The sequence below is a fragment of the Homo sapiens genome, chromosome X (assembly GCF_000001405.40).
Source record: "Homo sapiens chromosome X, GRCh38.p14 Primary Assembly".
Lineage (NCBI taxonomy): Eukaryota > Metazoa > Chordata > Mammalia > Primates > Hominidae > Homo > Homo sapiens.
The window spans coordinates 53,333,984-53,347,063 of NC_000023.11; the positions used below are offsets into that span (position 1 = coordinate 53,333,984).

The 13,080-nt window shown below is 46.1% G+C and overlaps 1 pseudogene; it reads left to right on the forward strand.

Moving 5' to 3' along the window:
* The first annotated feature begins 6,994 nt into the window (after nucleotides 1-6,994).
* Nucleotides 6,995-7,536, forward strand: MPV17L2P1 (MPV17L2 pseudogene 1; annotated as a pseudogene).
* Nucleotides 7,537-13,080: the final 5,544 nt, after the last annotated feature.

Sequence of the window (13,080 nt, forward strand, 5' to 3'; positions counted from 1 at the left end):
CCGTGCCCGGCTTGCTAAGAATCTCTTTTGTTATGAACAGGAGTTAAGTTTTACCAAATGCTTCATCAGCATCTTTTCTAATGATCATACATTTCTCTTCTAATCTGTTTACATGGTCAAGAATGCAGCATTTAGTTCAAGAGACAGGTGAAATTTCTAACATACAAAACTATCCAAAGAGGCACTAGCCACCCCATGGACCAAAGTAGTCAATTCCAAGTCACTGGAAATGTTCAAGTAGAAGTGCAGCCACTCAGTAAATATCTAGGTGTCAGGCACTGTTCTCGGTTCTGGCTACTTAGTGGTGAAGAAGATCCCTGCTCTCCTAGAGCTCACATTTTAGAGAAAGGATAACAGACACAAACAACCAAACAAATATATGAACAAGAACATTTCAAAAAGTCAAAAGTGTTATGAAAACAAATGAATAAAACAAAAAACAGTACAAAGGTAGTATAATAGGGTGAGGATGGAGAACAAGATGAAATAGGTTAGTCAGGGAAGGATTCTCCATGGAGGTGAGAGTTGAGGTGAGCCTGAATGACAAGAAGTTGTCAGTCATTTCATGAGGGCCCAGAGGCATGGGATCCCAGGGTGAGAGATGAGCTTGGTGTATTCAAGGGAATTCAGAAAGAAGTCCAGCTGGAGGCAGCAAGAGGAAAGACTGGTACTAGATGAGGTAGGAAAGAAGTTCTGGAGTAAAATGGTGTAGGGCCACGCCAGCCATGGAAGACATTTAGTTTTTATTTCAGATACAATGAAAAGCCATTGGAGGATTTTGAGCTGGAAGTGACATGATCTGAATTTTGTCTTTTAAAGCTTACTCTGTCTGATGTATGGAGAATGGGTTATAGTGGAGGCAAAACCAGAAACAAGAAGGCCAGCTAAGAGGCTAGTTATGAAGCCAGTTAGACAGTCCAGGCAAGAGACCGTGATAGCTTGGGCTAGGATAGTAATTGTGGAGAAAGATATGTGGACAGATTTGGAATAGATTTTTACCTGGGCAGCACTATCAATCAATATGATCTAATCAAAATTTATAGAGACTCCATCCAATAACAGCAGAATACACATTCTTCTCAAGCTGACATGGAACATGCACCAAGATAGACTATATTCTGGGCCATAAAACACACCTTAACAAATTCAAAAGGCTGGGTGTGGCGATCACACTGGTAATCCCAGCACTTTCGGGAGGTCAAGGCAGGAGGATTGTTTCAGGCCAGGCATTCAAGACTAGCCTGGGCAATATAGCGAGACCCTGTCTCAACAAAAAAATTAAAAATAAAAAAAATAGCTGGGCATGGTGGTACGTACCTGTAGTTCCAGCTACTCAGGAGGCTGAGGCAGGAAGACCCCCGCAAGCCCAAGATTTCGAGGTTGCAGTGAGCTATGTTTGCATCACTGCATTCCAGCATGAGTGACAGAGTGAGACCCTGTCTCTAAAAAGAAAAGAAAAAAAAAACCCCACAAATTTAAAAGAATAGAAATCATACAAAGTATGCTCTCAAACCACAATAGAAATAAAACAGAAACCGTCCAGGTGTGGTGGCTCATGCCTGTAATCCTAGCACTTTAGGAGGCTGAGGCGGGCGGATCACCTGAGGTCAGGAGTTCAAGACCAGCTTGGCTGACATGGTGAAACCCCATCTCTATTAAAATACAAAAATTAGCCGGGCATGATGGCGGGTGCCAGTAATCCCAGATACTCGGGAGGCTGAGGCAGGAGAATCGCTTGAACCCGGGAGATGGTTGTTGCAGTGAGCTGAGATTGTGCCAAACTGCACTCCAGCCTGGATGGCTGAGCGAGACTCCTTCTCGAAAAAAAAAGAAAAAAAAGAAATAAAATAGAAACCAGTAACTGAAAGATGGCTGGGAAATCCCCAAATATTTGGAAATTAAACAACAAATTTCTAAATAACATAGAGGTCAAAGAAGAAGTCTCAAGATAAATTTTTAAATATTTCAAATTAAGTGAAAATAAAAATGCAATTTGTTAAAATGTGTGGGATAGCAGAAAATCCCAAACAATCTATAGGGGGTACCACTCCTGGAACTAATGAAAATATATATAGCAAGGTCACAGGGTACAAGGTCAATACACAAAAAAACAATTGCTTTCCTATATACCAGCAATAAACAATTAGAATTTGAAATTTTAGGGAAGCAATACTGATTTTTTTGTTTTTTTTTTTTTAGACAGAGTCTCGCTCTGTTGCCCAGGCTAGTCTTGAATGCCTGGCCTCAAACAATCCTCCTGCCTTGACCTCCCAAAAGTGCTGGGATTACCAGTGTGATCGCCACACCCAGCCTTTTTTCTTTTTTTTTTTAGACAGAGTCTCGCTCTGTTGCCCAGGCTGGAGTGCAGTGGCATGACCTCGGCTCACTGCAACCTCTGCCTCCCAGGTTCAAGCAATTCTCCTGCCTCAGCCTCCCAAGTAGCTGGGATTACAGGTGCACGCCACCACACACGGCTATTTTTTGGTATTTTTAGTAGAGACAGGGTTTCACCATGTTGGCCAGGCTGGTTTCGAACTCCTGACCTCAAGTGATCCACCTGTCTTGGCCTTCCAAAGTGCTAGGATTACAGGCATGAACCACCACGCCCGACTGCAATACTGTTTTCAATAGCAGTAAAACAATGAAATACTTAGGAATAAAATATAACAAAATGTGTACTGGACCCAAATCTACAAAACTACAAAACATGAATGAAAGAAATCTAAATAAAGGGAGAGCTATTCCATGTTCATGAAAAAGAGGACTCAATATTTTTAGGATGTCATTTCTTTCCAACTTAATGTATATATTCAGTATCATTTCAGTCAAAATCTCAGCAAGCTATATTATAGCAATACTGAAAAACAAAGTTGGAGGATTCGCACTATCTAATGTCAAGACGCCACAGTACTATAAAGCTATGGTACACAAGACAGTGTGGTTGAGTGTGGAAAAAAACAAACTGTTTTTGCTCCGCTCTCACAGAACAATCAACACAGATTTCTGTGACCAGATGTGTGGGAGTACACACACCAAATGAGCAATCAGTTTTGTTGTGGACACCAGATGAATGTCCTCTAATTTCATGTAATTTTGATACTAACTACCCGGAGATGGCGTCAGATCTCACAGGTTGAGAGCTGTCTCCAAGAATGCCATGTTCCCCTCGCTCATCCTCACCTCCGCCTTCAGATGTGACTCCTGGTTGTTTTACCAGTGATTTTGACAGACTGGCTATAAACTGAGTTTCCACAACCCCCTCACTGAGTTCCATTAATTTGTTAGAGTAGCTCACAGAAAAGTTTCTATTCCAGATACAAGGAAAAGGGGAAGTTGTCAAAGTTTCATCATTAGACACGGTCTTCACAGAACTCAAGGAAACACTTACATAATTTATTTACTTATTTATTTATTTATTATTTTTTGTTTGTTTATTTGTTTAAGACGGAGTCTCGCTCTGTCGCCAGGCTGGAGTGCAGTGGCGCGATCTCGGCTCATTGCAACCTCCACCTCCCAGGTTCAAGTGATTATCCTGCCTCAGCCTCCCAAGTAGCTAGGACTGCAGGCACACGCCACCACGCCCAGCTAATTTTTTTGTACTTTTAGTAGAGACGAGGTTTCACCATGTTGGCCAGGATGGTCTCCATCTCCTGACTTCATGATCCACCTGCCTCGGCTCCCCAAAGTGCTGGGATTACAGGCATGAGCCACTGCGTCCGGCACTTACTTATATGTATTAGATTTTTGTTTTTTTAGTTAAACAATCATTTTATTGCTTGAGTACATAGACAATTTATGTGACCAGGGCAGAGGCTGTGGATGACTCATATTTCCAATCAAGAGGGAGGACTCACTTGGTGTTATAATATCGGGCCAAATGATGAATCCAGCTCTCTATCAGAATCAGATAGAATTTAGCATCCTTATCTGATTCGTGAGGGAGTCAGGCCCTTCCTTGGCCAGTTTGTCAATCTTCTCCTTCACGTTATCGGAAGTCAACGTCAGCCACCAGGAGCATGCATGCGACCCATGATGGCAACGGTCAGGCAGCAAAAGGGTATTGGATTATTATAAGGAATATTACAAGGGATATAGATGAAAAGATGCATGGGGCAAGGCCTGTGGGAAGGGGCACAGTGCTTCATGCCTTCTCCGAGTGTGCCACCCTCCAGGAGTCTCCACGTGTTTTGCTATCTGGAATCTCCCCAAGCTCTGGCCTTTTGGGTTGTTATGGAGGCTTTATTATGCAGACATGATTGATTAAATCATTGGTCATTGGTGATCAGCTGAACCTTCCGGGCCCCTCTCCCCTCCCCTGAGGTGGGGAAATGGGGCTGAAAGTCCCAACTCTCTAATCCTGCCTTGGTTTTTTGGGGACCAATCCCCAATCCTGAAGCTACCTAGGGGCTGTTGGCCATCAGCCAACTCATTGACATATAAAAAGACATCACTTTGGAGATTTTAAAGGATTTTAGGAGTTGTATGTCAGGAAATGGGGAAGACCAAATATACATTTTATAATAATCACCGTGGTGTTAAAGAAAGAATGCATACAGAGATCAATAGAACAGAGTGGAATATATTTTGAGGTAAAGCCAATAGGACTTGTTGGAAATATGAGTTGAGGAAAAAAAGGAATCAAGCACCGTCTGTAAGAGATGGGGGAAAGATCAGGTTAGAGAACGTAAAATGTCTTCCCAACTTTAAGTTTTAATCAAGGATTTTCGGGTCTATGATTCTTTGAGCTGCCCCCCATATTCCTCCTAACACTACAGCTATTCTTGGGGCTGAGGTCTCCCTAATTACTGGCCCCACATCTCCAAGCTCAGCCTCCCTCCCACTTCCCTTTCCTCTTCCATGGAGGGGGTGTTGAGGGCTCTGCCAGTGGGAGCCAATGAGCAGGGTGAATGCTGCCTCTAGTCTTGGTTTTAAGAGGCTTCAAGCTATGTGTGTCAAAGATCCCAATGCCCTACAATCAGAGCGTTAAGGAAGCATGAGACAAGCTGGGGAAGGGAAAGAGAATGAGCTAAAGAGAAAAGAAGATGAAGAAAGAGAGATGGGGGAGGGGAGGAAAAGGAAAAAAGAGTAAGTGACCTGTGGACATGTGGGGAGGGGAGCAGGCCACAATGGCACACCTGGGGCACAGAGCATCCAGCACTGCTGGCCTCTGCCCATGGCCACAGCAAGATCCCCTCCTTATTTGCAGCTGTTAAGAGAGCAAAGAGGCTGTTATTGGGAGACATAGTCCTCTGTAGTGACTACATCTGGTCAGGGTGGGAGGATGGATGAGGAGGAATGGATGCATTTGGAGAAGTGGTTCTAAACCTTTTGTTCAGTCATAGACCTGTCTGTGAATGGAAGCCATGGCCTGCACACTCTCCCCAGAAAAATGCCACTAGATATTGTAGACCAAATTTTGTCTACAATTCAGCACATTCATGAATGCTTTGGAATCCTCAAGGGTCCATAAGCCTGTGTGTCAAATCTCTGACATATAGAATATTTAGGAGATAAAAATCAACATGATTAGTGATGGATGGTATGTGATGGTTGACAGAGTGGGTCGGAGAGGAAGCCTGGGTTTAATGGCTGAGGTAGCTGAGTGGATGATAGAACCATCCACTGAGACAGAGAACACCCAAAGAGGAACAGGTTTCTGGGGAAAATACTGAATTCAATTTTGGACCTGCCAAATTTTAAGTGTCTGGAATGTCCAAGGGGAGATTTCCAGGAGGTAGATGGACATATGGATATGAAGTGCAGGAAAGAAATATAGGCTAGAGCGAAAGAGTTGGGAACCATCAACATGTAGATGGCTATTAAAGCTATAGGAATGGGTGAGGTCGTCTACCAAGACTGCACAGAATGAGAGCCTGAACGTACAAATTGACAATGGCCAGACCATATATAAAAACAGAACTCTGACCTACAACCTGCAGTTAACCTGTCCAGGAAGCCCACTCCTTATGTACAATAAACAGCCCAGGAAGCCAGCCTGCCTTAAGTCAGACTTGCAGGAAACCAGCTTGCCACCTCTAGTGACAATCCAGGAAGCTAAGCAAATATTTCTCTAACAATTGGCCCCGGCCGGGCGTGGTGGCTCACGCCTGTAATCTCAGCACTTTGGGAGGCCGAGGTGGGTGGATCACCTGAGGTCAGGAGTTCAAGACCAGCCTGGTCAACATGGTGAAACCTCATCTCTACTAATAATACAAAAAATAGCTGGGCGTGGTGGCTTGTGCCTATAATCCCAGATACTCCGGAGGCTGAGGCAGGAGAATCACTTGAACCCGGGAGGCGAAGGCTGCAGTGAGCCAAGATCACACCACTGCACTCCAGCTTGGGTGACAGAGTGAAACTGTGTCTCAAAAAAAAAAAAAAAAAACATTGGCCCCAAATGGCCAGGACTTGATGAATAACTAGCAGCTTCCCTAATTTTTGTCCCTGCCTCCAACTTAGTACTAACCAGAGACAGACAAATATGTATCCCCAACCAACCACATAGGCTACCCCGCTTCTAGCTAGCCACCTCCAGCTTCCCCCACCAACAGCCTCCAGTCAGGGCACACCTGAAGCCTTCCCTTTTCTCCATGCTAAAGCTTTACCACTGCTCTGCCTGCCTTTGAGTCTCTGCCAATAGGCAAGTGATGGTGGCCGACTCCCTTGCTATAGCAAGCTCTGAAAAAAATAGGCTTTGCTTTTCGTATTTGGTGGGTCTTCATTTATTTCCACAAAAATGAGAAAAAGGCTGGGACATAGCCTTATGGAACACCAGATTCTAAGGAAAGGGCAGAGGAAGAGGGGCCCGCAAAAGGGACTGAGAAGTAGTGGCCAAACAGTAAAGAGTAAAGCCAGGAGAGTACGGTGTCACAGAAACCAAGGGCAAATCTTCCAAATGGAGGGGAGAGCTCAACAATGCCAAATGTTACTCAGACAACAACTGAGTAACAACAGGGCCAAATGTTACTGGCACTGGCCGTATGGCCTGTGGACTATGGGGCAGTCCCTGTTCCAGGGCTGTGTGCTGCTGGTCATCAACACACTGGGCTGTGGTGTGCTTATGGTAGCCCGGGATGGTGTGTGACAGTCCTGGGAGGTCTACACCCAGCCTGACCAGATGTTCCACAGGTGGCACTCAGTGAGCATGCTTGCAGTGGATGGCAGCGTGGATCCTTTCCCGCACTACTGGTACCTCTGGCTGGACCACCTACTCCCTGTGTCTGGCCTCTGTGGCCTCCCAAATGCCCTCAGGAAGGTCCTCATGGATCGATCAGCTGGTAGCCTCTCCCATGCTGAGCATATGACACGTCTTGGGCCTTGGCTGCCTGGAAGGCCAGACGCTGGGAGAGAGCTGCCAGGAGCTGCAGGACAAGTTCTGGGAATTCTACAAGGCTGACTGGTGCATGTGGCCGGCTGCACGCTGGCGAACTTTCCCTTTGTGCACCCCCCTCCTCCCAGTTCCGAGTCACCTACATCAATGGCCTGACATTGGGCTGGGACACATATCTGTCCTACCTGAAGTACCAGTTCCTCTGACACCCCAGGCTATATGGCCTGGGCACCTGAGCAGACTAAGCTGCCCACCCCTAGGGACAAGATGCAAGACTGACTCCCAGAAGGGGAGCAGGGTTGAGCGTGGTGGGTCATGCATGTAATCCCAGCACTTTGGGAGGCCAGAAGTTTGAGACTAGCCTGGGCAACATGGCAAAACCCTGTCTCTACAGAAAATACAAAAATTAGGCCAGGCACCCAGCCTTATTTATTTATTTATCTCATACACCTGGAATTTATTTTGGTGTAAGGAATTAGAGATCCAATTTCATTTTCACCAAAATCACAAGCCAGTTATCCCAACACCATTTATTATACAATCTATCTTTTCACCAATGAATTAAAATATCTGTCAATTACTAAATTGTCCATAGGCAATGTTTTTTTCTGAACTTTCTATTGTGTTCCACTGATCTAGTTGTCAGTTTTGAACTGGTATCACTGTTTAATTCCTATAGCCTCACAATGTCTTTCAATAAGTGCTAAGAATAGTTGGTATGCATTACTCAATTTTCAGAATTTTCTTGATTATTTCTAGATGTTTACTCTTCTAAAGGGATACAGTTTAGAAATGTAATATCAACTAAAAATTATTTGGGTTGCATTAAATTTATAAATTAATTTGGAGAGTATTAACATTTTAATAAATGAGTTTGCCCATCCAGGAACGAGGTATGTCTCCCTTTTTATTCAAATATGTTATATCCAGCCAAGTGCGGTGGCTCATACCTGCAGTCCCAGCTACTCCAGAGGCTGAGGTGGAAGGATTGCTTGAGCCCCAAAGTTGGAGACCACAGTGAGAAATGATCGCACTGCTGCACTCCAGCCTGGGTGACAGACTGAGATCCCATTCTAGAAAACACAAAACCTGGCCGGGGGCAGTGGCTTATGCCTGTAATCCCAGCCCTTTGGGAGGCCGAGGCGGGTGGATCACTTGAGGTCAGGAGTTTGAGACCAGCCTGGTCAACATGGTGAAACCCTGTCTCCACTGAAAATACAAAAATTAGCCAGGCGTGATGGGGGCCACCTGTAATCCCAGCTACTCGGGAAGTTGAGGCCATAGAATCGCTTAAACCGGGAGGCAGAGGTTGCAGTGAGCCGAGATCACGCCACTGCACTCCAGCCTGGGCGACAGAGGGAGATTCCACCTCAAAAAAAAAAAAAAAACCACACACACACACAAAAAAAAAACCCACAAAACACAAAAACCCCAAATATATTATATCCTATAGGGGAGCTTCTTTTTTTTTTTTTTTGAGACGGGGTCTAGCTCTGTCACCCAGGCTGGAGTACAGTGGTGCAATCTCAGCTCACTGCAACCTCCGCCTCCCAGGTTCAAGCGATTCTTCTGCCTCAGCCTCCTAAGTAGCTGGGATTACAGGCGCGTGCCACCATGCCCGGCTAATCTTTGTATTTTTGGTAGAGACGGGGTTTCACCATGTTGGTCAGGCTGGTCTTGAACTCCTGACCTCGTGATCCGCCCACCTCGGCCTCCCAAAGTGCTGGGATTACAGGCGTAAGCCACCACGCCCGGTCAAGGGGAGCTTCTTAACTATAGAGTGAGGTTTCCAGAAGGTATAGTAGAAAGGTTTTGAAGGAAGCAAAGCAGTTCAAGGTTGGCTCAAGGGAGGGAAAATGCAGAGTTGTAAGAAATACAGGCGAGGCCAGGCGCAGGGGCTCACACCTGCAATCCCAGCACTCTGGGAGGCTGGGATGGGAGGACTGCTTGAGTCCAGGAGTTCCAGACCAGCCTGAGCAACATAACGAGACCTCGTCACTACAAAAATAAAATAAAATAAAATAAAAAATTAGCCAGTTGTGTTGGTGCATGCTTATAGTCCCAGCTACTCAGGAGTTTGAAGTGGGAGGGTCTCTTGAGCCCTGGAGTTTGAGGCTGCAGTGAGCTATGATAGTGCCACTGCACTCCAACCTGGGTGACACAGCAAGACTCTGTCTCAAAAAATAAAAAGAAGCAAACAGATGATAAGAGGAGCTTATATAAAAGATGGTTACTGTATTAGTTATCTATTGCTGAGTAACAAATGGCCACAAATTTTGTGGCTTAAAACAACATTTCAGCCAGGCGCAGTAGCACACACCTGTAATCCCAGCACTTTGGGAGGCCGACACAGGTGAATCACCTGAGGTCAGGAGTTCGAGACCAGCCTGACTAACATGATGAAACCCCATCTCTACTAAATACAAAAAAGAATTAGCCAGCGTGGTAGTGCATGCCTGTAATCCCAGCTACTTGGGAGGCTGAGGCAGGAGAATCGCTTGAACCCTGGAGGTGGAGGTTGCAGTGAGCCAAGATCACATCACTGCACTCCAGCCTGGGCAACAAGAGTGAAACCCCATCTCAAAAAAAAGAAAAAAGAAAAAAAGAAAGCCACAACATTTCTTCATCTAATAGTTTCTGTAGATTAGGAATCTACACATAGCTTAACTGGGTCCTCTGCTTCAGGCTCCCTCACAAGACTGTAATCAAGGTGTCATCCAGGGCTGGAGTCTCATCTGAAGGCTTGACAGAGGAAGGAGCCACTTCCAAGATCACCTGGTTATTGGCAGATTTCCAATTCGTCAAAGACTGTTAGACTGACAGCCTCAGTTTCTGGCTGCATGCTGCTCTTCAGTTCCTTGCCACATGGACCTCCCCAACATGGCAGCTTGCTTCATCAAAGCCAACGAAAGAGATAATCATACTCTAGCAAGCTAGAAGGCATAGTTTTATAGTTTTTTGTTGTTGTTGTTGTTGTTTTGTTTTTTGAGACAGGGCCTTGTTCTGTTGCCCAGGCTATAGTGCAATGGCGTGATCACAGCTCACTGCAGCCTCGACCTCCTGGGCGCAAGTGATTCTCCCACCTCAACCTCTTGGGTAGCTGGGACTACAGGTGTATGCCACCATGCCTTGCTAATTTTCTTTTCTTTTCTTCTTCTTCTTCTTTTTTTTTTTTTTTTGTTGTTGTTGTAGAGATGGGATCTCACTATGTTGCCCAGCCTGGTTTCAAACTCCTGTGCTCAAGCGATCATCCTGCCTTAGCCTCCCAAAGTGTTGGGATTACAGGTGTGAGCCACCACACCCGGTCAGAAGTCACAGTTTTTGTTTTTTTTTTTTTTTGAGATGGAGTCTCGGTCTGTCGCCCAGGCTGGAGTGCAGTGGCGTGATCTCGGCTCACTGCAAGCTCCGCCTCCCGGGTTCACGCCATTCTCCTGCCTCAGCCTCCCGAGTAGCTGGGACTACAGGTGCCTGCCACTACGCCCAGCTAATTTTTGTATTTTTAGTAGAGACGGGGTTTCACCGTGTTGGCCAGGATGGTCTCGCTCTCCTGACCTGAGGTGATCTGCCCGCCTCGGCCTCCCAAAGTGCTGGGATTACAGGCGTGAGCCACTGTGCCCATCTCAACCCTTTGTTTAATCCCTCCCCTTGAGTGTGGGCTGACCTAGGTACTTGCTTCAAACTGATGGAATGTGTCAAAGGTGATAGGATTTCACTTAGTGATTAGGCTAGTAGCCTAATTCCATCAGTTTGAAGCAAGTACCTAGGTCAGCCCACACTCAAGGGGAGGGGATTAAACAAAGGGGTGAGCTGGGCGCGGTGGCTCACGCCTGTAATCTCAGCACTTTGGGAGGCTGAGGTGGGCGGATCACCTGAGGTCAGAAGTTCAAGACCAGGCTGGTCAACATGGTGAAACCCTGTCTCTACTAAATATACAAAAATTAGCTGGGCGTGGTGGCGGGCGCCCGTAATCCCAGCTACTCAGGAGGCTGAGGCAGGAGAATCGCCTGAACCCAGGAGGCGGAGGTCGCAGTGAGCCGAGATCGCGCCATTGCGCTCCAGCCTGAGCAACAACAGCAAAACTTCGTCTCAAAAACAAAAAACAAAACAAAACAAAAAAACAAAAAACACAATAATAAAGGAGTGAATACCAAGAGTCTGGATCACTGGGGGTCATCTTAGAGGTTACCTGCCACAGTTACTAAGAAGTATAAGTGACGGGAGGTTTGGTAGCATTAGCTAACTCAATATTTGCCAAAGGAGTGTCCTTGAAATTCACTGGCACATGAGGTAAAGGAGGGACACAGATCACTGGGGTTCTCCTGTAACCTAGATCAATTATATTTTCTTTTTCTTTCTTTCTTTTTTTTTTTTTCTTTTTTGAGACGGAGTCTCACTCTGTCACCCAAGGTGGAGTGTAGTGGTGCGATCTCGGCTCACTGCATCCTGTGCCTCCCGGGTTCAAGCGATTCTCCTGCCTCAGCCTCCCAAGTAGCTGGGACTACAGGCACCCGCCACTACGCCCAGCTAATTTTTGTATTTTTAGTAGAGACGGAGTTTTACCATGTTGGCCAGGCTGGTCTCGAACTCCTGACCTCAAATGATCTGCCCGCCTCAGCCTCCCAAAGTGCGGGATTACAGGCGTGAGCCACCGTGCCCAGTGATCAATTATATTTTCAAGAGAATTATGGTCTCTGATGGAAGAGGAAACCCCTAGGCTCATAAGGCTAAGTAGATCATAACCACTTCCAGCTGGGTAAGGTGGCTCATGCTTATAATCCCAGTACTTTTTGGGAGGCTGAGGCAGGAGGATGGCTTGAGCCCAGGAGTTTGAGACCAGCCTGGGCAACAAAGCAAGATCCTGTCCCTACCAAAAAAAAAAAATATCTCCGCATGGTGGCATGCACCTGTAGTTCCAGCTACTTGGGAGGTGAAGGTGGAGGATCGCTTGAGCCCAGGAATTCAAGGCTGCAGTGATCACACTACTGCACTCCAGCCTGGGTGCAGCTGTGATCACACTACTGCACTCCAGCCTGGGTGACAGAGTGAGACCCTGTCTCTAAAAAACAAAATAAATAAATAAATAGTAACCACCTCCATTTGTGTAGCACTTCATGGTCTACAAATCTGCTTTTGGAGTCACTATTTAATTTGATTCTCTTAACAACTCTGTGAGGTAGCCAGGCAAGAGAACTAAAGTTCAAAGAGGCTATGTGGCTACCCCTGATCTCACAATTAGTGGGTGGCAGAGCTGGGACTAGAGCCTCAGTCTTCAAATTCCTAACCTATTACACTGGAGTGATTTATCCAAAATCCAGAGATATGCCATTTTCCCTCTTCAATGGCTTCTCCCACCGTTTTCCTCCCACTCTGGGTTCTTTTTTTTTTTTTTTTTTTTGTTGTTGTTGTTGTTGTTGTTGTTGTTGAGACGGAGTGTCGCTCTGTCACCCAGGCTGGGGTACAGTGGTGCGATCTCAGAGGCTCAACTGCAACCTCCAACTCCCGGGTTCAAGTGATTCTCCTGCCTCAGCCTCCTGAGTAGCTGGGATTACAGGTGCAAGCCACCACGCCCGGCTAATTTTTGCATTTTTAGTGGAGATGGGGTTTCACCATGTTAGTCAGGCTGGTCTTGAACTCCTGACCTCGTGATCTGCACGCCTCGGCCTCCCAAAGTGCTGGGATTACAGGTGTGAGCCACCGTGCCCGGCCCCTCTCTGGGTTCTTATCCTGGCTCAGTTATTACTAGCCAGTAA